The sequence below is a fragment of the Homo sapiens genome, chromosome 17, assembly GCF_000001405.40.
Source record: "Homo sapiens chromosome 17, GRCh38.p14 Primary Assembly".
NCBI lineage: Eukaryota > Metazoa > Chordata > Mammalia > Primates > Hominidae > Homo > Homo sapiens.
This window is the reverse complement of record NC_000017.11, coordinates 7,335,125-7,358,340: the sequence shown is the minus strand read 5'-3', so window position 1 is coordinate 7,358,340 and position 23,216 is coordinate 7,335,125. Positions and strand designations below refer to the sequence as shown.

The 23,216-nt window shown below is 56.0% G+C and overlaps 3 protein-coding genes across 15 annotated transcripts, besides 11 other annotated features; all 3 read right to left on the bottom strand.

Moving 5' to 3' along the window:
• Positions 1–1,121: 1,121 nt before the first annotated feature.
• On the bottom strand, positions 1,122–3,185 carry TMEM95 (transmembrane protein 95). Of its 9 annotated transcripts, none has more exons than XM_017024568.2 (8): positions 2,968–3,185; positions 2,699–2,755; positions 2,423–2,503; positions 2,292–2,312; positions 2,065–2,145; positions 1,862–1,949; positions 1,673–1,742; positions 1,426–1,447 (listed from the first exon to the last, which is right to left on the bottom strand). In XM_017024568.2, the coding sequence occupies exons 1-7, from the start codon at positions 3,134–3,136 to the stop codon at positions 1,709–1,711; spliced, it is 531 nt and encodes a 176-aa protein (XP_016880057.1). In that variant the 5' UTR covers positions 3,137–3,185; the 3' UTR covers positions 1,426–1,447; positions 1,673–1,708. The 9 variants fall into 9 exon arrangements, with proteins under 9 accessions (NP_937797.1, NP_001307365.1, NP_001307364.1 ...); XM_017024569.2 differs by having other exon boundaries at positions 1,443–1,505; NM_198154.3 differs by having other exon boundaries at positions 1,122–1,742; positions 2,065–2,169.
• Positions 2,591–3,117: an enhancer, noted in NCBI's record as "H3K27ac-H3K4me1 hESC enhancer chr17:7258543-7259069 (GRCh37/hg19 assembly coordinates)". NCBI's record gives its function as "activates a minimal SCP1, AML or CMV promoter by ChIP-STARR-seq in naive H9 embryonic stem cells {active_cell/tissue: H9 hESC(naive)}" and the evidence as "EXISTENCE:reporter gene assay evidence [ECO:0000049][PMID:30033119]".
• Positions 3,118–3,644: an enhancer, noted in NCBI's record as "H3K27ac-H3K4me1 hESC enhancer chr17:7258016-7258542 (GRCh37/hg19 assembly coordinates)". NCBI's record gives its function as "activates a minimal SCP1, AML or CMV promoter by ChIP-STARR-seq in naive H9 embryonic stem cells {active_cell/tissue: H9 hESC(naive)}" and the evidence as "EXISTENCE:reporter gene assay evidence [ECO:0000049][PMID:30033119]".
• On the bottom strand, positions 3,397–6,179 carry KCTD11 (potassium channel tetramerization domain containing 11). 2 transcript variants are annotated; one of them, NM_001002914.3, is made up of 1 exon: positions 3,397–6,179. In NM_001002914.3, the coding sequence occupies exon 1, from the start codon at positions 5,396–5,398 to the stop codon at positions 4,700–4,702; it is 699 nt and encodes a 232-aa protein (NP_001002914.1). In that variant the 5' UTR covers positions 5,399–6,179; the 3' UTR covers positions 3,397–4,699.
• Positions 6,101–6,870: a silencer, noted in NCBI's record as "silent region_8113". NCBI's record gives its function as "represses an Ori minimal core promoter by ATAC-STARR-seq in GM12878 lymphoblastoid cells {active_cell/tissue: GM12878}" and the evidence as "EXISTENCE:reporter gene assay evidence [ECO:0000049][PMID:35858748]".
• On the bottom strand, positions 6,864–21,812 carry ACAP1 (ArfGAP with coiled-coil, ankyrin repeat and PH domains 1). Of its 4 annotated transcripts, none has more exons than XM_047437150.1 (22): positions 21,554–21,812; positions 20,972–21,078; positions 16,274–16,393; positions 16,013–16,066; positions 15,867–15,925; positions 14,779–14,962; positions 14,591–14,635; positions 14,385–14,480; positions 14,218–14,292; positions 13,693–13,802; positions 12,046–12,097; positions 11,850–11,950; positions 11,410–11,533; positions 11,099–11,310; positions 10,350–10,419; positions 10,120–10,214; positions 9,866–10,035; positions 9,174–9,346; positions 8,287–8,396; positions 8,104–8,214; positions 7,342–7,391; positions 6,864–7,046 (listed from the first exon to the last, which is right to left on the bottom strand). In XM_047437150.1, exons 3-22 carry the CDS (start codon positions 16,280–16,282, stop codon positions 6,946–6,948), a joined length of 2,001 nt encoding a protein of 666 aa, XP_047293106.1. In that variant the 5' UTR covers positions 16,283–16,393; positions 20,972–21,078; positions 21,554–21,812; the 3' UTR covers positions 6,864–6,945. The 4 variants fall into 4 exon arrangements, with proteins under 4 accessions (XP_047293106.1, NP_055531.1, XP_047293107.1 ...); NM_014716.4 differs by having other exon boundaries at positions 20,972–21,029; XM_047437151.1 differs by lacking the exon at positions 20,972–21,078.
• Positions 6,921–6,980: a silencer, noted in NCBI's record as "silent region_8112". NCBI's record gives its function as "represses an Ori minimal core promoter by ATAC-STARR-seq in GM12878 lymphoblastoid cells {active_cell/tissue: GM12878}" and the evidence as "EXISTENCE:reporter gene assay evidence [ECO:0000049][PMID:35858748]".
• Positions 7,051–7,110: a silencer, noted in NCBI's record as "silent region_8111". NCBI's record gives its function as "represses an Ori minimal core promoter by ATAC-STARR-seq in GM12878 lymphoblastoid cells {active_cell/tissue: GM12878}" and the evidence as "EXISTENCE:reporter gene assay evidence [ECO:0000049][PMID:35858748]".
• Positions 7,991–8,130: a silencer, noted in NCBI's record as "silent region_8110". NCBI's record gives its function as "represses an Ori minimal core promoter by ATAC-STARR-seq in GM12878 lymphoblastoid cells {active_cell/tissue: GM12878}" and the evidence as "EXISTENCE:reporter gene assay evidence [ECO:0000049][PMID:35858748]".
• Positions 8,381–8,470: an enhancer, noted in NCBI's record as "active region_11617". NCBI's record gives its function as "activates an Ori minimal core promoter by ATAC-STARR-seq in GM12878 lymphoblastoid cells {active_cell/tissue: GM12878}" and the evidence as "EXISTENCE:reporter gene assay evidence [ECO:0000049][PMID:35858748]".
• Positions 9,311–9,360: an enhancer, noted in NCBI's record as "active region_11616". NCBI's record gives its function as "activates an Ori minimal core promoter by ATAC-STARR-seq in GM12878 lymphoblastoid cells {active_cell/tissue: GM12878}" and the evidence as "EXISTENCE:reporter gene assay evidence [ECO:0000049][PMID:35858748]".
• Positions 20,846–21,607: an enhancer, noted in NCBI's record as "H3K27ac-H3K4me1 hESC enhancer chr17:7240053-7240814 (GRCh37/hg19 assembly coordinates)". NCBI's record gives its function as "activates a minimal SCP1, AML or CMV promoter by ChIP-STARR-seq in primed H9 embryonic stem cells {active_cell/tissue: H9 hESC(primed)}" and the evidence as "EXISTENCE:reporter gene assay evidence [ECO:0000049][PMID:30033119]".
• Positions 21,608–22,369: an enhancer, noted in NCBI's record as "H3K27ac-H3K4me1 hESC enhancer chr17:7239291-7240052 (GRCh37/hg19 assembly coordinates)". NCBI's record gives its function as "activates a minimal SCP1, AML or CMV promoter by ChIP-STARR-seq in primed H9 embryonic stem cells {active_cell/tissue: H9 hESC(primed)}" and the evidence as "EXISTENCE:reporter gene assay evidence [ECO:0000049][PMID:30033119]".
• Positions 21,741–21,950: a silencer, noted in NCBI's record as "silent region_8109". NCBI's record gives its function as "represses an Ori minimal core promoter by ATAC-STARR-seq in GM12878 lymphoblastoid cells {active_cell/tissue: GM12878}" and the evidence as "EXISTENCE:reporter gene assay evidence [ECO:0000049][PMID:35858748]".

Genomic DNA, 23,216 nt, shown 5'->3' with positions numbered 1-23,216 from the left:
ATTCCAGCACTTTAGGAGGCTGAGGTGGGTGGATCACATGAGGTCAGGAGTTCGCCACCAGCCTGGCCAACATAGTGAAACCCCATCTCTACTAAAAATACAAAAATTAGCCAGGCGTGGTAGCGGGTGCCTGTAATCCCAGCTACTTGGGAGGCTGAGGCAGGAGAATCTTTTGAACCCGGGAGGTGGAGGTGGCAGTGAACCAAGATCGCGCCATTGCACTCCAGCCTGGGCAACAAGAGCGAAACTCCGTCTCAAAAAAAAAAAAAAAAAAAAGAGAGAGAGAGAGAGGTACTACCGTGGAAGGGGTAGGAGTTCTTCTACCCATCCTTAGGACCTCTCTGGGTACCCCAAACAATGATTCTAACCCTGGCTGTGGGTTACAGTAACCAAGGCCCCATATAGGACCACTTATTCCAGAATCTCTGGAGCTGGGGCCAAAGCACAGCTAGTTTTAAGGCTGCCCAGGTGGTTCTGATATGCAGCTGGCTGAGAACGCTTACCCTGGAGCCTCGAGGTACCCAGTTTGAAAACCCCTGGGCTAGGTAAGGGCTGGAATCCCTGCCAGGCCTAGGCACTCAGACTGTGCCTTGTGGTTGGCAACAGGCCTCTCTTCTCATGTTCCATGTCCCACGTTCCATTCCCAAACCAAAAACTCCTGATAGGCAGGGGACAAAACACCAGGGTTTCTCAACCATGCTCTGACATTTTGTTTCTTTCTTTTCTTTCTTTCTTCTTCTTCTTCCTCTTCTTCTTCTTCTTCTTCTTCTTCTTCTTCTTCTTCTTCTTCTCCTCCTCCTCCTTCTTCTTTTTCTTCTTTTCTTTTTTTTTTTCTCCTATCTCCCTTTCCTGGTAAACACTGACATTTTGGACGGGATAATTCTTTGCTGTGGGGACTTTCCTGTGTGTTGTGGGATGTTTAGCAACATCTCTAGCCTCTACCCACCAGAGGCCAGTAGCACGTCCCCCCAGTTAAAACAATCCAAAACGACTCCAGATGTTGCAAAATGTCTACTGGGGTGCAAAATCACCCCCATCTGAGAAGCACTGTGCTACTCTGAGAGTCTCCCATCCTTCCTCTGCCCTCCCCAGTTGCAGACAGAGGCTAGGCAGGGGCAGAGGCCATGAACAGCAAGTTTTACTTAGGCCTGGCAGGATGGAGGCCTCTGAGGGAGGCCAGGATTTCAAACTGTTAACACGATGGAGGGAGGGCATGCCCGCGAACCCACTGATGTGATCTCACTCTAGTGGGGTGAGTTTTCCAGAACATGCATTCCCGGATTCCCCATCAGTCATAGGAGGGCCTGGAATAGCTTCTGGGGCAGATGCCCCCGCTTTCCCGGAACAGGCAGAAGGGGGTGTGGGTGTGGTGGGAGTGGCGTAGGGGATTCTTTCCTTCTGTAGATATTTTCCTGGCATTGTTGACAGCCATGTGATTGGTTGAGGGCTGGAGGGGAGGAACTTTCCAGCTGTGGGTGCCTGGGTTCCCGGGAGGCCATCTGACACTGGGATTGTGGGGGATCTGGGTTTTTGGGGATTTTCTTGTTTTTCATTATCTCACCAACCAGAAGCAGGGATGTCTGGGTTTTAGGGTCTGGAGACTGTCTTTGGAGCTGGGACTAAGGGGCTGACTGGTTCCCCTCCAAGGGATGTGGAAGTTGTGAGTGCATACCCCTTAGAGCTGGAGGCTGGGAGGTTTTCAGCGTCTTCACAAGCCACTTTTTGCTTGGAGGTGGTGGGACCTGAGGGAAGACGAGGGTGGGAAGCCTACGGGAGGGGCCTGGGAGGGACAGAGGGAGGGAGGATGGGTGGTGGAAGGCACTGGGCGGGGTAGGATTCCTGTCTTTATCCCAAAACTCACTCCACCAGGAGGCTCAGAACACCCAGAAGCAGGAAAGCTCCGAAGATGGAGAGGAGCAGAATCTTGGCTTCCCAAAGATCCTGACTTCCTGCAGGGAACCCAGGAGGCAGTGAATGATTCTGGGACCCACACGCACCGACTTGGGAGCCCAAGGGCTCAGGGATCTGGGCAAGGTGGGGCGGGGCCAAGATGGGCGTGAGGACCTGGGAAGCAGCGCTTTCGGGGCCAGCAGGACACCTCCGTCCCCTTGCAGGTGGAGCAGTTGTACAGCGTGGTGCTGCCCCCTGCAGGAGACAGCAGAGGCAACGCTGGGGAGGGGAGGCCGGGCCTCCACCCTGCCTGGTACCCAGCTTCCTCCTGCAGCTGCCAGGCCCTCCTCTGACACCCTGCAGGCCCCAGGTCCTTGCTACCCCTTTCCTTTCCTACTCACGGCAGGCGGGGGGACAGAGAGCTGAAATGAAAGACAAGGAAGGGGTGGGGGTGTGAATGGATGAGCTGCTCACCACACATTCCTTTGGTTAAGACCCTAGGCTCCCCTTGAGGCCCATCCCGCATCGGTACCTTCCCTGGTGTACTCAGGGAGCTTGGTCTTTCGAAGCCAACTCCAATATGAAGGGAGTGAGGAGACAGCCTCTTTGATTTCTGGGGAGGCAGACAGCAGCTCCGTTTCCCTGGGCCTCGACGGGGCCAGTTCCCCCTCTCTTCACGCAGCCCCTCCCTGATCAGCCCTCCTGTCTCTACCCCTCCACCCTTCCCTGCCCACCCCAACCCCTGTCACCCGTCCCTCTCCTTGGTATCCTCCCAAGCCCCTAGGTCACTCTTTCCCCTTGACCTCACCCATGACCCTCAGGACTCTGTGAGTCTTCTCTGTGACTTTGTTCATGGACACCTCATCTGTGGAGATGGGCAAGGACCAGCGATTCCCTCATCAGCCCAGGTTCTGGGGTCTCTCCTGACTTTCCCAGATATGGAGCTCTCTCAGAGGGAAAGGCCAGCATGTCCAGAAAGGGCCACAGATGGAGGGCACAGCTGGAAGGTCACATGCCACCCTCTGGGGGTAGGGGGGTGAGTGCTTGCTGGGCCCATCCCTGGATGTCTGGTCCTACCTAAGGCAAAGGCCGAGAAGTCTGGGGAGGCCCCACATTCCTTCTGCCTGGCCTCCATCTGGCTGCAGAGCCGAGCCAGGCGGCCTGACAAGTCGTGGGCTGGGAGGCGACAGAAGACACAAGCCTGGGCGGCTGCCAGGAAAACCCCGCCTAGTGCCAGCCTCCACATGAGGACCACTGGGGGATGGGGCGGCGCTGCCCCAGCTGAGCCGAGGAATGCTCTGCAGCCCTGGCTCCAGCCCTTGCCTGGAGGTTCTAGAATGTTCCAGAACAATGAACAATGGCACTGCCCATCCTCAGCTGGGGTAAAGCTGGGGCTCAAGGAACTGGGGTCCAGAAGGCATCTCCAGCAGGCGATGGGCAGAGAAAGCAGGGCTTCTGTTGTGAGGGGACAGCACCCCCAACCTGGCCCTCAACAGCCTTCACAAGTTTGTGGTTCCAAAAGCAGTTTTATTTTTCTTCTTGTAAATCATGACCAGTGAGAAATAATGTGTGCCCCACCCCCCACCAGTGAAGAAGCTGTGCGTGAGTATCCCACCCGCTCTGGGACCCAGAAATCCCATCCCTTCCCATCTCCTCCCCCACTGTCCCAAACTCTTCGTCTCCTCTCTCTGCCCTGGGCGGCCTTGGGCCTTCCCCAGCTATCTCCTAGCAACAGGTCCATGGTTGCCTCAGCAACCAAGAGTTCCATACAGGCCTCAGAGGCCCAGCTAAGCCCAGTGACTTCTCTTACCTCTCACCAGGAAGATCCCAGTGACTCAAACCCCAACAGGCCCCTCCTGGCTACGTGGTGATGCATATACATGCGTGCACATAAACACACACACACACACACACACACACACCCTGTGATTAAACTACTAATTGTCAACCACCTCACAGGTATACCACAGACACACCCTGTGCCAGAAGAGTCGCTAGGCAACCCCAAACAGGCCTGGACATGCGGACATCACAGACACTGTAGTCAGCAACACAGATATGAACCAGGATGCCAGGGACCTATACATCAGTCAGCCACACGGGCTGATATGCACGCACACATGAAGAAAGGCCAGGACCCACAGATACTACCCTCTTCCCCCTGGCCAGCCCTGCCATCAGTATGGGATTCTTCCAGATGAGGGATGCTCCAGCCCCATTGCCATGGGGACTGTCCTAGCTCCCATACATCAACCTAGGGTGGGTTGTGGCCTTTCTGCCTCCCTCAGTAGATGGCTTGGAACATAGCAAAGAACTCCTCTTCCGATGTTCCAGAGTGTTCTGGCCTCTCATTGGTCAGGCCAGGCCAGGCCACCCAGCTTCAGGAGTAGAAGCCATGGTCCAAGAGACCGCATTGGGAAAATGCAAAGTCCTCCCTTTTCCCCAGACCTCAATATCCTTCCAGGGTTTTGCTAGGTCTAGTCTGGGTAAAGAGATGTTCCCCCCTTTTCCAAGCCCTTAAACACTGAGCTCCAAATCAAGGAGAGACTGGAGGTGCTCAGCCTTAGGCAAGAACAAGCTGAGAGAACCTTCCCTACCCCTCCCAGGGTCAGCACAGGTTGAGACCTTCTGGACCACTTGTGAGTCCTTGGTGGGCTCAGGTTTGGGAATTCCTGCCCACATCTGAGCTCCAGTCAGGTGCAGGAGAGTCCCGACTCTCATAGCTCCTGAAGCAGAGCTGGAAAGAGGCTTCAGGGGTGCTAGTACCCCATTCTCTCTCCTCCCCACAGTCAAACTGAGAACAGCATCCTCAGTGCCGGACAAAGCGCAGAGACCTGGAGTTGAGCAGGTCTTCGGGGTCGGGGAAGACAGAGTCTAGTCGGAAGCCGTGCTCGAGAGCCACCCGCAGCACCTCCTCCAGGAAGCTTGGGGTGCCCACCACCTCCCGCCGCTCTCCTGGCCCCCCAGTCCACAGCGGCTGCAGCCCCAGTCTCCCATACTCCACCTCGGGGAGTTCCACGGGGCGGGGGGCCCACTCCAGATGAAAATGTGGGCTCCCCTCTGCCCTATCCCCACTGGCCACACCAAATCGGGCCCGCAAAGCACCTAGACACTCAGAGTCGGTGCAGAAAAGGTTGGCTCGGAAGGTGTCCACCTGGACGGAGCTCAGCTCATAGTGATGGGGTCCCCGGCGAGCAGAGAAGTGCACCAGGCGGGGGCTGACATCTACATCTGCGTGGAGCAGGGCAGCTGTGGGTGCAGGGGTCCCCTGAGAGGCCTCCAGTTCCCGCAGCGCGTCCAGGAGGGGCCGGATCTGGTAGAAGTCAGCCTCTGCCCTGAGCAGCGCTGTCTCTCCGTACCCACGGGGCAGGTCCAGGCGGCCCAGCCTCAGGAAATTGAGGATGTGCCGGAAGGCCTTGCCATCCCGGTCGATGAAGTAGTGGCCGCCTCCTTGGGAATTGAGGTTGGGGGGCATGGGGGTGCCGGCCCTAAACATGGCCCCCAGCATAGAGTCTGGGAAGCGGGTCAGGGTCTCCAAAGTGGTGGAATATAGTGTGCCCCCCACATTCAGGGTCACGGGGCCCCCAAAGGAGGGGGGCGAAGAGGGCACAGGAGGAGGAGAAATTTTGGGAAGTACAGGAGACACCGAAAGAAAAGAAAAGGCAGAACTTCCTGGGTGTGTGCAGAATTGGGTCGAAGCTGTCAGATTCGCTGGGTTGGAGGCACAGGTGGAGCACACCCAGTAAGGTTTGGGGCTCACCCCGGCTACTTTGGTGGTGGATGGGGAGGTGGTGTCAGGACACAGAAATCCCCAAAAGGTTGAGAGAAGAGATGAAAAGAGCAGAGGGCAGCCAGAGAGGGGAAGGGAGCTTGAGGTCTGGACGTATCCGATTTGGGGTGGTCAGCGACACCCCTCTGTGGTCTTCAGACAGTGGGTTTCCGGAATCCAACCAGCAGGTGACGGTGGCGAGCACAGGGCCGACTCTGAAGGGATGGCCTCCGAGACCCCGGGCAGATCGCTGCCGCCGTGGACGAGTCCAGCCAGGGCTCTGGGGCCACTCAGAGGCCTGGCCTGGCTGCCGGCGCGGGTCCCAGGAGATGGAGGCCGAACTGACGGGAGCGGATGGCGGAGCCCCCTTGTATCCGCCGGGGAGCGACGATGCGTGCTCAGCCCGGGCTGGGAGTGTCCGAGGGCTCTGATGGAAACAGCCAGGAGTTTCGGGACCCGGCCGCGCCGCCTTCCCTGGGTGTCGCCGCAGCCGCTGAGGTCCTCTCCGCCCCCAGGAAGTGGCCTAAGGGCAGCGGCCCGGGGCCCTTTAAGAGACAGCCCCGCCCCTTGGCGCCCCGCCCCCGCCCCCGCGAGGCTCGCGCGGCCCGGGCGGAGGTGGGAGGCTGGAGGCGAGTCTCGGACGCGAGAGACTGGGCGGACTGGCTGGACTGGCAGACGCTGGCGGGACGGGGTGACTCAGGCACGTCGCCCCGGATGTGGCCACGACCGCCCCGCCGCCGCTCAGGTGTGCCCGATCTCACGTCTGCAAGTCGGCGGGGCTGGAGCCTCTAATCCCACCGCTCAGAGCCCGAGGCCCGGCCGGCCCAGCCCGGGAGCCGAGTCCCTCCCAGCGGCTCCCCCGGGGAATTCCCGAGGGGGCGGGTGCTGAGCCGCCGCATTCCGGGGATGCCTTCCAGCCGGGGTGGCCCGGGCGCGCTCTCTCCGCGGCGGCGCGGGGCCAGCGAGCCCCAGGGCCAGCCCCACCCCTCGGCAGGACTGGGCTGGCCACGTCGCCCCAGCCCGAGAGCCCCCGCCCCGCAGCGCCCTGCGCTCAGGCCGCGGCCGAAGCTGCCGCCTCGCTCCCCGGAGTCGCACCTTGCTGGACTGGAGCTCGCAAACCCCCAGCTGCTCCCCGCACCTCGGGAGCCGCAGCGCCCAACACCCTACGGGCCCGAAGGTGGCGCCCAAGAAGTGAACCAGAAGGGAAGAGCGAAGCACGGAGGCTTTAATGGCAGAGGGCCCGGTGGCGGGGAAGGGAGGCAGGCGCGGGCCCCGTGGGCCTCGGGTCACAGCGTGTGGAGGTCATGACTGCGACGGCTCAGCTTCTCCGGGTCGTCTGACGCCATGAGGGAGAAGTCGCGGAAGATGTCAAGATACGTCTCATCTCCTGGGGGAGGGAGGAAAGGCCGGGAGGCGGCTGGGCCCCAGTGCAGAAGGGCAGGATCCGGCGGTTGGGGCCCACCTGGGGACCTCGCGCTCCGAGCCTGGGTGGGAACGTGCGCGCCGCGGGCACTGCGCCAGCACCTATGCCTTGCCAGGGCCTGGCACGTCGCATGCGCCCAATACGCATTTGTTAAATAACGGAATGAATGCAGCTGGGCACTAGGGAGAGAGGTCACCGTGGACCAGAAGCCCAGAGTTCAGGTGTTGGGCCTGGGGGGTGGGGTGGGTGTATTCTTTACCTGCCTGCCCCTGGGCCGCTTCAGCCTCCCTCATCTTTGCCAGTCGTAGCCTGAAGAGGAGGGAATTAAGAAATGAACGACACTATCTTTGGCCGGGCGCGGTGGCTCACGCCTGTAATCCCAACACTTTGGGAGGCCGAGGCAGGCGGATCACGAGGTCAGGAGATCGAGACCGTCCTGGCCAACATGGTGAAACCCCGTCTCTACTAAAAATACAAAAAATTAGCCGGGGGTGGTGGCGCACGCCTGTAGTCCCAGCTACTCAGGGGAGGCTGAGACAGGAGAATCGCTTGAACCCGGGAGGCGGGGGTTGCAGTGAGCCGAGATCGCGCCCCTGCACTCTAGCCTGGGCGACAGAGTGAGACTCCGTCTCAAAAAAAAAAAAAAAGACTATCCTCACCTCCCCCACAACTTCCCATCCTTTGAGCTGGGTTGCGTTCCGTTCATCTGCCCCCACCCCCGGGGTCACGTCTAGTGCTAAAAAGATGCCTGACAGCAATGTTGATGGGCGAATTACGCCTCTCAGGGTGGGCCAAGCATCCTTGCACCCTGCCCGCCCTCCCGCCTGCCTTCTACTCCACGTCCCAGTGCACACTTCGCGCAGCCTTTCTCGAGCCTGGCCCCGGCGCTGGCCCAGCCCCTTTCCGAGGCCCCACAGCACAGGCTTCTGTTTCGGCGTCAGCCCCGCCCGCCCGCCCGAACGTGGGTGGGCGGGGGTGGGGGGAGTCCCAGCGCCAGCCCCGCCCCTTCAGGCATTCTTACAGGGTGACGATGTCAGCGTTGGCTGTTTCCATGGCGATGGTCAGAGGGTCCCTGCCTTCAGAGTCTCGAGCCCCCAGATCAGCTCCCCGTTTCAGGAACAGGCAGGCGAGCCTGGAGAGAAGAGCCAGGGTCAGCCGGCCGCCCAACTTCTCCCAGCCTTCCTCCCCATGCCATCATCCCTACCCCGTGTGGCCAAGAATGGTTGCGTGGTGCAGCGGGCCCCGGCCCGCACTGTCCGCTTGGTTCACGTTCGCCCCGTTCTGGAGGAGAAACTCACAGGCCAGAAGAGAATTCTGCATGGAGAAGTCGAGAAGGGGGGTTGAGGGTGGCATCCCTAGTGGTGGATTTCAAGATGTCTTAGGGTGGCGCCAGTTCAGAGAATGGGAGGGTGGAGTGTGGTAATCAGGAGTGTGGAAGGGGTTACAGCTAACTGTAACCAAGCTAGGCTTGGCTCTAGCTCTTTGCATGTATTCATATATAAATCCATAGTACAAGCTTTTGAGGTATGTTACTATTTTACAGATGAGGCTGAGAGGTTAATAACTTGTTAAAAGTCTCCTGTAGGCCGGGCACAGTGGCTCACGCCAGTAATCCCAGCACTTTGGGAGGCCGAGGCGGGTGGATCACAAGGTCAGGAGATCCAGACCATCCTGGCTAACACGGTGAAACCCTATCTCTACTAACAATACAAAAAATTAGCCGGGCATGCTGGCTGGCGCCTGTAGTCCCAGCTACTCAGGCAGCTGAGGCAGGAGAATGGTGTGAACCCGGGAGGCGGAGCTTGCAGTGAGCCGAGATCGCACCATTGCACTCCAGCCTGGGGGACAGAGCGAGACTGTCTCAAAAAAAAAAAAAAAAGTCTCCTGTAAGAGGTGAGAGCCTGGGTTCAAACTCAGGTTCTCTGCCTCCAAATCACACACTCTTAGCAACCAGTCTCTATTGTTGATCTCTCCCTATGGGTGGAAGCCCTAGGGAACAGGTGGTGGGGAAAGGAGGTAAGGGCAGGGCCCAGAGTCAGGAGTAGGTGTCAGAGCCCTAGGGTGGGGTGGAGAGGTCAGCAGGGCTCTTACAGCAGCTGTGGCCTGGATCAGCGGTGTGGCATTATCTTGGCCCCCATTGACCCAGTTGACATCAGCTCCATGGGCAAGGGCATCAGCCATGGTGGGAAGAGATGGAGGATGCCCAGACGCTCGAAACAGTAGGGCCCCAGGGTGCAGGCTTCCCAGGTCCTCAGAGGGGGGCTCTGTTCGGGGGATTTGGTTCTGTTAGGGGGAAGCAGCTCCGAGTCTGGGAAGAAAACCCTCAGCAGTGTCCCAATGCTATAATGGGACAGGTCTCTTCTAAATGATGGGGAGCTTGGGACTGTGGAGGGAATAGAGTGATGCAAGTGTGGGTATGTGTAAGTATGCGTATGCATGTGTACGAGTCCCTAGGGTGTGGGGGAGAGACGGCATCATCACCTCATCTGGTCCAACCACACTTGGCCTCAGCTCTCAACCCCTGACGCTCCAGCCAAACCCACCCCCTCTCTCTCTCCTTTTCTTGTGCTGTTGGCACCCCTTACCCTCCCTGCCCACGCCCAGCCCCACATTCCTTCTCATTCTTAATGTCACACTCCACCGTAACCCCTGAAACGGCAGTCCGGTCCCTCCGACATTGTCCAGCGGAAGGCCTGGGCTTCACACTCTGTGCCTCCCGGCGCTACCTGGCACGATGCCGAGCACACAGCAGATGCTCAATGAATGCCCAACCAACCCTATACCTGGCTTGGATCTCAAGCTCCCTGGCCGGGGCCTGATGGAAGGCTTTGGGGGCACAGGAGGCTGCCCCCTTGGGCGCCCCCGGCCACCTCTTCGCCCTCGAATCTCAGGCAGCTTGGTCAGGAACTTCTTCTCCACGTATTTAGCGTGAATCCAGGCCTCCTTCTCCTGCCTGTGGGAGGGGAGAAGCACGCAGTCTTCCCTCTTCTGCTCCAGGGGTCCCCCATTCCCCTGGGAGGCTAAACCCCAAGCTCACCGGGAGCAGCTGGGCCCTGGTTTCTTCACTGCCATGGCCTCCACGCGGGCCTCATAGATCTGGTTGATGATGACATTTCCCAGCTCACACATGAGCTTCAGGAGGCCCAGGCAGAGGCAGAGACAGGGAAGGTGGGGGTGAGTGACTCCTCAGGGATCACGCCCCTGCACCGCCATGTCCTTGCCCCACCCCAAGTTCTTGCCCCCAATCTTCACAATACGCTAAGTTACCTTCACTAGTTCTGGCTCCCATGAGTCAAGGGTCAGAGACCGGACTTTGGAGAAGTGAACACCAAGGCTCCTGGAGGGCCAGAGGGGGAGGGTCAGGCCCTGTGCAGGGGGGCAGTGGCCTGGGGAGCTGCTGCTGCTCCTGAAGACACTGGGAGGCAAGGCTGGCATGGGGGCCCGTGCAGAGGTGCTGGCCCAGGAGGCAGGGCAGCTGCGGCCATGTAACCGCCATGTAGCCTTGACCTGGCCCTGGCAGGACTCTGCCTCGTCACCATTCCTTCTTCCTTAGGTTTCATTTCAAGGCCCTCATCACTCCAGCCACCTCCCTTCTCTAGTGACACTTGTGACACTTTGGCCTGGACAACCTCTCCCATGTCACCTCCCTTCCACCACACTGAGGTGGGGGGCGAGGGCCTTAGATACTTGCTAAGGCCTCATGACCGTTTCTCTGCCTAGTCTTCACTGGCTCCCCCACCCTCAGCAGCCTTGACCCCACACTTCTTCCAACCAAGCCAACAAATTCTGGGTATCCCCCAATTCTGGCCAGACTAGGACACAGAGGGGCTAGGCCCGCCTGGGTCCAACTGGCACCCCAGAGGCTTGGGCCCAGGCCTGGTACCCAGTGACAAAGCCAGAAGCTAAGAGAGGAAGCCAGGACAGGGAAGGAAGAGGGGCCGGTGTGATGCGCTCTGTATTGGAGCCGCACTGTGGCCCGAAGGAGTGGGGCTCCCGCATGGGCCTTGTGGAGTAACCTGTGGATGCCGGAACACTGAATGCAGAGGGTGACACCAAGGTTGATGCTGGCCCACTCCGGGGCTGGCTCCCGGCAGTCGCAGCACTGGGCATTGCCATCCACACTCTGGACCTGGGCCACCACGTGCCCGACTCCCCCAGGCTCCCTTCCCCTGGCCATTCCACCAGAGCCCAGGGTGGCAGCAGAGCCTATGGCCAGGTGTCCTGAGCCCTGGGGGAGAGAGGGGAAGAAAGGGTGGCCAAGGGGCCTAGGGTAAAGGGTGCCCCATCTCCACAGGCAGCCTGGCTCCGCACCCCCAGGTTAAGGTACCTGGCCTGGACCCCGGGGGCTGTCATCAAGGCGAGCCTGACTGAAGGCAGAAGCAATGCTGCTCTGCACAGCACTGACCCACAGCTGCAGGAGGCGCTCTGAGTCAGCCTGGAGGAGGCAGGACCTAGGTAGGAGGGTGAGGGAGATGGCAGAGGGGTCTGAGGCCTGGGAAGCAAAGTGGCAGCATGGGCAGACTGACATTCAGCCAGTATTCAACCAGTTCCAGTTGCATTGAAAGACTTCTGTACCAGTTGGTAATATTCTCCTAAATATCCCCCATCACCCTGTACCCTCTTCCACAATGGCCCCCCAGTCCAGCCGCCAAAGAATTAAATTAAAGTCTGGAGCTGCATGGGGGGCCTCCATTGTGGTGGGCCCTGCCTTTCAGATTGGCAGTTGTTTAGATATATTAGAGTATCACCCCTGGGGATTGCACTCACTTGCTGGTGGACACCACCTCAAAGCAGAACCGCCTTTCTGAGTCAGGGCAGAGTTTCACTGTGCAGAGACGAAGGTCATCCACCACCACAGTCACAGGGTCCTGGCAGGATAAGGTGATAAGGGGCCAGATGTCCAGCTGCAGGCAAGAGCTGAGTCTCCCTGGGGCCCAGGCATCCAGGACCCAGGTCCACTCACCTTGTACTTCTTCTGGTAAACCAGTTGGTTGCTCTGAATGGTGAACCAGCGTCTGTAAGAGAAGGAAATCATTACAGACATAGGCAGCTTTAGGATGAGGGACGGAAGAGAGGCTGTGCTTTTTGCCCATGAGGATCTTACTGAGAGGACAGACACCTGGGCTGACTGTTCCACGAGACATTCCAGAGAAGGGTGGACAATTGTGCAGATTGGAACATCTAAAGGATGCTATTCCTATCTTGGACAACCCAGATTTCATATAGTTATGAAGACAACTTTCCAGCAGATGGCAGTAAAATTCTTTTTCTAATAAAATGTCTATTGCTACAATTTAAAAAATACTATTTAGGCTGGGCTCACACCTGTAATCCCAGCACTTTGGGAGGCTGATGGGGGTGGTGGATCACCCGAGGTCAGGAGTTTGAGACCACCCTGACCAATATGGTGAAACTCCGTCTCTACTAAAAATACAAAAATTAGCCAGGCGTGGTGGCAGGCGGCTATAATCCCACCTACTTGGGAGGCTGAGGCAGGAGAATCGCTTGAACCCAGGAAGCTGAGGTTGCAGTGAGCTGAGATCGCACCACTGTGCTGCAGCCTGCGCAACATAGCGAGGCTCCATCAAAAAAGAAAAAAAAAGAAAAAGAAAAAAAGAAAAGAAAGAATCTTGGGGGCCAGGTACAGTGGCTCACGCCTGTAATCCCAGCAAGTTGGGAGGCCGAGGCGGGTGGATTGCTTGATGTCAGGAGTTTGCAACCAGCCTGGGCAACATGGTGAAACCCTGTTTCTACCAAAAATACAAAAATTAGCCGAGCGTGATGGCACACGCCTGTGGTCCCAGCTATTTAGGATGCTGAGGAGGGAGGATCACTTGAACTCAGGGGATAGAGGTTGCAGTGAGCCGAGACTGCGCCACTGCACTGCAGGCTGGGCAACAGAGTGACACCCCATCTCAAAAAAAACAGAAAAAAAAAAAGAAAAGAAAAAGAAAAAAGAGTATCTTGGGGAAGCAGCTCCATTTTCTAATTTGTACAGAGATCCCATGTGGGCTAGCAGTGGCCCTAGAAGGGAAAGGAGTCAAGTCACAGCATGCCACCATCCTGTTCCAAACCCTATAGCGGCTCCCAATTGCTCTCAGAGTAGACCCCAAATCCCTACAAAAATCTATAGGGCCCTATAATGACTCATGCCCCCATTAGCTCCGATTTCATCTCCTGCACATCCTCCTCCCTCACTCTGTCCAGACCCAGGGCCACCACCCTGCTCTTCCAACTCCCCAGCTATCTCAGGGCCTTGGCACTGGCTCTTTCTTCTGTCTAGAACTTTCTTCCCCCAGATATCCTTCAAGTCTTTGTTCAAAAGTTACCTTCTCATGAAGCCCACACTGCCCAACTATTTAGAACTGTAACCCCTACCCAGCTCCCCACATCCCTTGCTTTATCATCTTTCTCCTATAGCAAGCACTATCACCTTCTAACATAGCACGTAATTTACATACTAGGTTTATCCTCTGTCTTTGCTGATGGAATGAAACTCTACTGAGGCAGGGGGGTTCGTCTGTTTTTCCTTGCAGTGCTTAGTGTGCTATTACCACTCGAAAATACATCATTGGGTGGGGCGGGCTGATTGGGGGTGTCCTCTCCTCACCTGCTCCAGGTCTTAAATGCGTTGCTGGCCCGTTTGAAGAGATGTCCTTCCATCACCAGGCCACCAGGCCCCTCTCTTAAGCTTGGTTCTGGCTCCTCCCCACCCAGCTCCTGGAGGCACAAGAGGATCAAAGGGCAACTGAGATGGGCAGACACCAAGGCCATAGGCATCTGCCTCCTGCCCACAGCCCTAGCCCTTACTTTCTGCTTTTTGAAATACTTTTTAAAATTTATTTTTAGAGACAGGGTCTTGTTCTTTCACCCAGGCTTAAGTGCAGTTGTGTGATCATAGCTCACTGCAGTCTTGAACTCCTGGGCTCAAGCAATCCTCCCACCTCAGCCTCCTGAGTAGCTAGAACTAGAGGTGCATGCCACCACACCAGCTAATTTTAAAATTTTCTGTAGAGATGGAGTTTCACTACGATGCCTAGGCTAATCTTGAACTCCAGGCCTCAAGCAATCTTCCCACCTCAGCCTCCCAACATGTTGGGATGACGGTCGTGGGCCACCGCACCTGGCCCCTCACCTTCTGTTTCAGCAGCACGTGTCTCTGCTCCATGTCCCTCTTCTCTCGTGCTGAATTCAAGACCAGCTGGTGCAACTGGGCACAGGAAGGGCATCTCAGATGTCCAAGGCCCCCCAGTTAGGAGTCCCTAACCTCCCTCTACCACCTGCTGTGCCCTGGGGCCCCACCTGGGCGCCCAGCTCCTTTCGATACTGGGACAGCCGGCTCAGCTCCTCATGGCCCTGCTGGAAATGGGTAGCCTGGGCCTCCACCAAACGCAGCACCTGGGGGACAAGGCGGGCAGTGGGAAGGCTGAGGAAGAACCCCTCTCCCCATTCCCTTGTGCTGGCAGCAGGCTCTTCTCCACCCTGCCCTCACCCCCGCCACAACTCACAAACTCCATGATGTCAAACTTCCTCTTGTCCTCAATCACGTTGATCTGAGGACGTAAAAGAGGACGTAAAAAACCCCAGATCAGTCTTGAAGACACAGCACCCCTTCCCACTGCACACTGGAGACCCCCAAGCCTCGAGGTGACACTTGAGGCTCTGGTACCCCAGGAAGACAGATTGGGGCAGGCACCTGCAGGGCATAATCCAGTGCCCGTCCCCGGTACCCAGCTCGAGCCGTCCTCAAAGCAGCTCCTGCCTCTTCTGCCTCCTGGGCCCGGCGCCTGGGAACCTCTGCGTTGTGGGTCAGGGCAGCCTCCAGGCTCTCAGCCCCCCGCCAGAAATCCCGGCGAGCCTCTCGGAAACCCCGCAGACCTCTGAGGATGGGAAAATAACACAGAATCGCAGCTAACACCCACCTGCCCCAGCAGAGCATTCCCAGGGTAAAGCCCTCATGTCCTTTCAGTTAGTCTCTGCAACGTGGGAAACCCAAGGTGATCCCTGGGACGGAAGTCAGGACACCAGAAACCCCCAATCTCACAACTCCGTCACTGGGGAGGCTCCTGTGGCCATGGGAAGAGGGCAGCAGGGCTGGTTTCCGAGAAATAAGGCCCCCTTCTCTCCCATCTCACTCCCCCTTTAAAAAATTTTTGTTGTTGTTGTTGTTTTTGTTTTTGAGACCGGGTCTTGCTCTGTTACCCAGGCTGGAGTACAGTGGCACAATCATGGCTCACCGCAGCCCTGACCTCCAGGCTCAAGCAATTCTCCTGCCTCAGCCTCCCAAGAAGCTGGGACAACAGACATGTGCCACCACGCCCGGCTATTTTTTTTTTTTTTTTTTTTTTTTTGAGGCAGAGTCTCACTCTGTTGCCCAGGCTGAAGTGAAGTAGTGCGATCTTGGCTCACTGCAACCTCCACCTCCTGGGTTCAAATGATTCTCCTGCCTCGGCCTCCTGAGTAGCTGGGATTACAGGCACCTGCCACCATGCCCGGCTAATTTTTTTTTTTCGTATTTTTTAGTAGAGCTGGGGTTTTGCCATGTTAGACAGGCTGGTCTCGAACTCCCGACCTCAGGTGATCCGCCCGCCTTGGCCTCCCAAAATGCCGGGATCATAGGCATGAGCCACCGTGCCCGGCCTAATTTTTGTATTTTTTGTGGAGACAGTTTCGCCATGTTGGCTAGGTTGGTGTCCAACTCCTGGGCTCAAGCAATCCTCCCGCCTTGGCCTTCCAAAGTGTTGGGATTACAGGCATGAGCCACTGCGCCCGGCCCCATCTCACTCCTTGACCAGGGTCTGGATCTGCTGCTGCAGTGTGTGTTGGGTGGCATCTAGAAGCTCCTGAGGGAAGGAGAAGTTGGTAGACTGGGGTCAGGACCACAGGTGACCTGGCCACCACCCCGACAATCCTTACCTTCCCCTACTTACCGCATGGCTGTCCAGCTTGTGGTTCAGGCTCACGGTGAATTTTTCCAGACACTCCTAGGCAAGAAGAGGCACAGAAAGAGTACCAGGCATGGGGTGGCAGCACCCTCCCGACTCGAGACCCAGCCTGCTACGGCTGTCATGGACAGCAGCCCAGCCCTGCTGTGGCCTGGAACCTGCAGACCCCAGGCCAGCCCTCCTCTTCCACAGCATCACCTCCTCATCCCAGACCCCTTCCCTCCCAGATGCAGACCCTCCGCATACCGCCATCATGGGCTCTGGTGGACCCAGGCGGGCCAGGTCACAAATGCCGACAACGAAGGCGCGGCTGGCAGCAAGGTAATGGCGCCCACTTTCCAGGAGACCAGTGCCCAGTTTCAGGAGCTGGGAAAGAAGGAGGGTAACAGGGAGCTGTGCCATCATCCTCACACCTGGTGATGCCCCCACACCTGCCCCACTTCCTCTCCCCTTGCCCAGGGCGGCGCTCCCCTATTCCTGCCTGGCCTCACTGCCCTCCAGGCTCATCCAGCTCTCCCTGTATCTAACACATACCTGCTGTGTTCTTATCGCTGCGTCTTTGCTCCCACTGCCTTGGGCCTGAAACCCAATTCCTGCCCATTCCTCTCAGCCTGTCGCCAACACCTCTGTCAGCCTTACCTCCAAAACATCTTTCCCTGTCCACTCGCACATATCTCTTCCTGCCCTGCCTACCTGCTTAGATCCAGAGCTCCGTGGAGATTCCTGCATGGTCTGGATGCTCTACCTGGTTGCTATTAAATTCTACAGTATTGGCCGGGCGTGGTGGCTCACACCTGTAATCCCAACCCTTTGGGAGGCCAAGGCGGGCCAGTCGCTTGAGCTCAGGAATTCAAGAGCAGCCTGGGCAACATGGTGAAACCTCATCTCTACTAAAAATTCAAAAATTAGCCAGGCATGGTGGCACATGCCTGTAATCCCAGCTACTTGGGAGGCTAAGGCAGGAGGACTGCTTGAACCCGGGAGGCTGAGGCTGTAGTGAGCTGAGATGGCACCAAGTGCCTATAATCCCAGTTACCTGGGGGGCTAAGGCAGGAGGACTGCCTGAATCCGGGAGGTCAAGGCTGCAGTGAGCCGAGATGGCGCTACTGCACTCCAGCCTGGGTGACAGACCGAGACTCTGTCTCGAAAAATAAATAAATAAATAAAATCTATAGTATTTACTGCTAGGAGTTGTCCCATTCTGTGCTCACTGCACGTTCCCTCATAAATATTAATCCATCATCTAGACCACGGGTCAGGGCCAAGAGGAAATGCCGGGGTACTCCTGGGGCCCATCCTATCTGGCTCTTTTGACTGACAAAGAGACTTGATAGGCCAGGCAAGGTGGCTCAGACCTGTAATCTCAACACTTTGGGAGGCTGAGGTGGGTGGATCACCTGAGGTCAGGAGTTGGATATCAGCCTGACCAACATAGTGAAACCCCATCTCTTTTTATTTTTCTATTTTTGAGACGGAGTTTTGCTCCGTTGCCCAAGCTGGAGTGCAATGGCATGATCTTGGCTCACCACAACCTCCACCTCCCAGGTTCAAGCGATCCTCCTGCCTCAGCCTCCAGAGTAGCTGGGATTACAGGTGCCCGCCACCACGCCCAGCTAATTTTTTGTATTTTTAGTAGAGACGGGGTTTCACCATGTTGACCAGGCTGGTCTCGAACTCCTGACTTCAGGTGATCCACCTGCTTCGGCCTCCCGAAGTGCTGGGATTACAGGCATGAGCCACTGCACCTGGCCTGACCGAGATCAAATCTTATCAGACATCACCATGGGTTGTCTGTGACAAGGTACAAGGATGTTCACAAATCACTGTGTGAATCTGAGGACTCTGTGTCTAGTTTTTTTCCTTACCATCTCAGCCCCTCCCCCTTAGATGAGTAAGAAACTTTCATAACACTGGACTAGTGACAGACTGGGACATCTGTTCAATAGAACAGTACTCAGCAATAAAAAGGAACAAACTGTTGATATGTGCAACAACTTGGATAAACTTCAAGAGCATTCATCTTTTAAAAAATTATGATTATTTTTAGAGTTGAGGTCTCTGTCGCCCAGGCTGGAGTGCAGTGGTGGGATCATAGCTCACTGCAGCCTTGAACTCCTGGGTTCAAGGGATCCTCCAATCTTAGCTTCCTGAGTAGCTGAGACTACAGGCACACACCACCATGCCTGGCTAATTTAAAAACAAAACAGAACATTATTTAGAGACAAGGGTCTTGCTATGTTGCCCAGGCTGGTCTCGAGCTTCTGGCCTCAAGCAACCCTCCTACCTTGACCTCCTGAGTAGTTGGGATGACAGGCATGAGCGACCACACCCGGCAGCAGCATTATTCTGAGTGAGGGGGGAGGGGGAAGCCAAATCTCAAAGGGTCACATAGTGTATGATTCTATATATGGAACATTCTGGAAATGACAAAAGTAGAGAGATGGAGAACAAATCAGCGGTTACCACAGATTAAAGAAGTGTGGGAAGGGTGTCGGGTACCACTGTAAAGGAATTCCTTGTGTCCATTGGTGTGTGGTGATGGTTAAAGGAATCCATACACGTGATAAAGTACCATAGAATTATACACAAAAACACCAAAAAAGAGTATATGCAAAATGTAAAATCAAAGTAGGATCTATAGAGTTTATTTATTTATTTAGAGACAGAGTCTTGGTCTGTCGCCCACGCCGGAGTGCAGTGGCACGATCTCGGCTCATTGCGACCTCCGCAGGCTGGAGTGTGGTGGCGTGATCTCGGCTCACTGCAACCTCCGCCTCCTGGGTTCAAGCAATTCTCCTGCCTCAGCCTCCTGAGTAGCTGGGATTACAGGTGCGTGCCACCACGCCTGGCTAATTTTTGTATTTTTAGTAGAGATGGGGGTTTCATCATGTTGGTCAGGCTGTTCTCGAAGTCCTGACCTCGTGATCCACCTGCCGCAGCCTACCAAAGTGCTGGGATTACAGGCGTGAGCCACTGAGCTTGGCTAGAGTTTATTGGGGTTTTTTGTTTGTTTGTTTTTGTTTATTGAGACAGTCTCACTCTGTCGCCCAGGCTGGAGTGCAGTGGCACGACCTCCACTCACTGCAAGCTCCACCTCCCGGGTTCGCGCCATTCTCCTGCCTCAGCCTCCTGAGTAGCTGGGACTACAGGCGCCTGCCGCCACACCCGAATAATTTTTTGTATTTTTAGTAGAGACGGGGTTTCACAGTGTTAGCCAGGATGGTTTCGATCTCCTGACCTCGTGATCCGCCCACCTTGGCCTCCCAAAGTGCTGGGATTACAGGCGTGAGCCACCACACCTGGCCGAGTTTATTGTTAATTGTAATGTGACACTATTAATGTCCTGGTTTTAATAATGTACTAGTATTGTATAAGATGTCACCACTGGGGGAAGCTGGGTGATGGGTACATGAGACCTCTCCTCACTAGTCTCCTGAGTCAATAATTTACTCAAAATAAAAAATTCAGGCCAGGTGTGGTGGCTCACACCTGTAATTCCAGCACTTTGGGAGGCTGAGGTGGGAGGATTACTTGAGGCCAGGAGTTCCAGACCAGCCTAGGTAACATAGGGAGACCCCATCTCTACAAAAAATAAATTTAAATTTAAAAAAGCCAGGCGTGGTGGCATGTGCCTGTAGCACAGCTACTGGGGAGGTTGAGGAGGGAGGATCACTTGAGCCCAGTATTGAAGCATCTGGGATCACAGCTGTGGCCACTCCATCCAGTCCATTGTTTAAAATTATTATTTGTAGGCCGGGTGCGGTGGCTTAAGCCTGTAATGCCAGCACTTTGGGAGGCTGCGGCAGGTAGATCATTTGAGGTCAGGAGTTCAAGACCAGCTTAGCCAACATGGTGAGACCCTGTCTTTACTAAAAATACAAAAAGAAAAAAAATTATCCAGGTGTGGTGGTGCACACCTGTAATCCCAGCTACTTGGGAGGCTGAGGTAGGAGAATCACTTGAACCTGGGAGGTGGAGGTTCCAGTAAGCCGAGATCGCACCACTGCACTCCAGCCTGGGTGACAGAGCGAGACTCCATCTCAAATAAATAAAAATAAAAATAAAATTATTATTTGTAGAGATGAGGTCTCACCATGTTGCCCATAAAACAATGTTGCCCACTAAATTTGTGACAATTTGTTACACAGCAATAGAGAACTAATATATAGCAAGCAAATACATAATGTGTCAGAGGTAAATGTTGCAGAGAAAAGTAAAGCGAAGTAAGGGGAATGAGAGAGCATTTGAGTGTGTATTTGTGTGAACATGCTGTTTGATAGAGTGCTCAGGGGACACCTTACTGTCTTGAATTGAAACGTTTCACTGGTTTGTCTTCTAGTCAGCCTTTGGGCTCCGTGGGAGCAGAAATGATCTTGTCCTCCCTGAATGCCCAGGGCCTGGCACAATGCAGGAGCTCAAGAGCAGAACAAGGAAGTCCAAAATTAAGTCTTTTTTTTTTTGACACAGAGTCTCGCTCTGTCGCCTAGCCTGGAGTGCAGTGGTGCGATCTTGGCTCACTGCAACCTCCGCCTCCCAGGTTCAAGTGATTCCTCTGCCTCAGCCTCTTGAGTAGCTGGAGCTACAGATGGGTGCCACTAAGCCTGGATGATTTTTGCATTTTTAGTAGAGATGGGGTTTCGCCATGTTAGCCAGGCTGGTCTAGAACTCCTGACCTCAGGTGATCCATTCACCTTGGCCTCCCAAAGTGCTGGGATTACAGGCATGAGCTACCATGCCTGGCCCAAAAGTAAGTCTTGTTTTCCAAGATCCTGAGCTTCTTGTCGGTACAGAACCACCTTTTTTGCTTCTCTGCAGTCTCCAAAATATCTCCCCTACACAGTATTCAATAATCCCTGGGATGCATTCTGTGTCTCCAGCTTTCTCCCTGGCCCTACCCCTCTCAACCTAATCCACTCCTGGGTCACCTCTCCATGTCAGGGTCACCTTTTCCAGACGGGTCTCCAATTCTGACACTTCGGCTTCCACCAGCTCAATAGAGGCTCTGGGAAAGAGGGGGTCATGGGAAGAGAGCTTGGGTCCATCTGGTCTGTCTGCCTCATCAGGCGGGATGGAGTCGCAGGGCGGTGGGTACGGAGGAGAAAGCTGCAGAGTTGAGAGGCTCGCCCCCCACCCACCTACTTGTGCTCTGCCCGCTCTGCAGTCTGGGAGCTACCACAGCCCAGGCCAGAGCAGGAAGGGTAGAAGGAGGGTGGATGTGGCCAGGGCAGGAAGTTGCTAACCGCCCCAGAGCAGGTGCTGGGGGAGGGGCAGGGGTCCCACTGAGAGGCCAGAGGGAATGCCAGCTCTAGGGGTGAGGGAAACTGCAGAGGCCAGGAGGAGCATGCAGGGGCAGAGAGCATTGGAGTACCCTGCTTTCACAGCTGGGGTACCACTTTGGCCCACAGGCTCGCTCCTGCCTCTTAGAGGCCTGCTCCCTGGAAGGAGACCTGGCCTGGGGAAAGGTGTGTGTGTGCTGGGGGTGTTAGACTTTCCCCTCCTTAGCCCCCCAGACCAGTTCACACTTACCGGAAACGGGGTGAGTCCTTGAGACACTCCTCGAAATCCAGCTTGACCGTCATCTCAGCTTGCCTGCTGTGGGGCCAGCGGGCCCTGGAGGCCGGGCCCCTGGGGATGCAGGTGGAGGCACTTTCTGTCCCAGGAAGGGGAGATGAGGGGGAAGGAGGAGAGGGACCTCCGCGGGGAAGGGCCTGGGGGCACAATTCTTTCCCCAAGGGGAAAGGGGTGTCCTAGGAGGAGCTCTCACCCCACACTTCCAGGCAGTGCTGGGAGGGGCAGGGGCGGGGCCTGGGCGGAGGATGGGGGCCTGAGATCAGAGAAGCCACAGCCCCACCCTCAGAGACGATCTGCCAGCTCCTTCCTCCTGGGGCTCTAGCCTCTGTTTCTTTCTCTCTTCGTGGTTATCTTGGGGGCCTGGCAGATCTAGGTTCAAATCCTGGCTCTGTCACTTAGAGGTTATGTGCCCCTGGACGAGCTCTCTGATTCCTCAGTTTTCTCATCTGGAAGATGGGAATGATAACCCCTTCCTCCAGGGCTGTACGAAGTGAAGAAGGTGATAGCAGTAAATTCATGGTTCACTAAATTTATTTATTTATGAGACGGAGTCTCCCTCCATCGCCCAGGCTGCAGTGCAGTGGCGCGATGTCGGCTCACTACAACCTCCGCCTCCTGGGTTCAAGCAATTCTCCTGTCTCAGCCTCCCGAGTAGCTGGGACTACAGGCTCCTGCCATCATGCCCGGCTAACTTTTTGTATTTTCAGTAGGGACGGGGTTTCACCTTGTTGGTCAGACTTGTCTCGACCTCCTGACCTCAGGTGATCCACCCACCTCGGCCTCCCAAAGTGCTAGGATTACAGGCGTGAGCCACTGTGCCCAGCTGGTTCACTATATTAATTGCATCAGTCATTGTCATCCTGCTACAGCTTGGGCCTGCTCCTGTGGAGTCCAGTACCCCGGACTGCTCCCAGCTTTCTTCGTTTTGCCGTCATATTCATGGTTCCTGTGTGTGAACTCCCCTTCCTCCTCCCCTCTCCTCAACGACTGAGCAGGCCCAGCCTGAGCACCCGATTCACAGCTCCCAGACTCTTGCTCTTCTGCTCTTTATTTCTATTCATAGGGTGGTCATGAAGGGAAGGTTGCCCCCACTCCGCCCCCAACCAGCCCCATTTTCCATTGTTTGCTTTCCTTTTCTTGAGTCCATTGAAGTCCCAGGGTTTCATCTGGAGAGAAGAGTTTGAGTTCATGGCTTTCTCGTAGCAGGCATGAGATCTTGTCCATGTGACTCTGGATCCCCTAGAACCTCCCCACTCAGCTCCTCTACCTCCCTGGCCAGTGTATGCATCCCCTTGCCTCTGCCCAGGCTCAGTGTGCCAGGCTGTGCTTGTTCTGGCTTGAGGAGTTGGGGTTGCTTCCACTCTCCCTCTCTGAACTCCTTGGGCTTTGCCAGCTCAGCCCCCCAGCCACCAGCTGGACACCACTTGAGACTCACTGTCTTTGGAGGACAGAGAAATACCTGGAGTGGGGTGGTGTGGCAGAGGAGTGAAGGAGGAGGCATGGAGCCAGTGTGTGGTGCCAAGCTGGAGGGGGTCCCAACCGCCTCTGAGTCTCCCTGGTTCCTCGCCTGTCCAATGTGGACCTTGGACTTGAGGCTGTTCAGGGCCTCTCCTTCCAC

What these genes read in the sequence shown, in the direction of transcription:
- TMEM95 (XM_017024571.2), bottom strand. Translation starts at nt 3,136, where the DNA reads ATGTGGAGGCTGGCACTAGGCGGGGTTTTCCTGGCAGCCGCCCAGGCT. An exon ending in CCGAAAGCGCTGCTTCCCAG is followed by an intron (nt 1,743 to 2,064) that starts GTCCTCACGCCC and finishes GTCTTCCCTCAG; the next exon opens with GTCCCACCACCTCCAAGCAA. An exon ending in CCAGCCTCCAGCTCTAAGGG is followed by an intron (nt 1,506 to 1,672) that starts GTATGCACTCAC and finishes CCACAATCCCAG; the next exon opens with TGTCAGATGGCCTCCCGGGA.
- KCTD11 (NM_001002914.3), bottom strand. Translation starts at nt 5,398, where the DNA reads ATGCTGGGGGCCATGTTTAGGGCCGGCACCCCCATGCCCCCCAACCTC.
- ACAP1 (NM_014716.4), bottom strand. Translation starts at nt 21,606, where the DNA reads ATGACGGTCAAGCTGGATTTCGAGGAGTGTCTCAAGGACTCACCCCGT. An exon ending in GCATTTAAGACCTGGAGCAG is followed by an intron (nt 12,098 to 13,692) that starts GTGAGGAGAGGA and finishes CTTCTCTTACAG; the next exon opens with ACGCTGGTTCACCATTCAGA. An exon ending in CCAGGGCCCAGCTGCTCCCG is followed by an intron (nt 10,036 to 10,119) that starts GTGAGCTTGGGG and finishes CCCCTCCCACAG; the next exon opens with GCAGGAGAAGGAGGCCTGGA.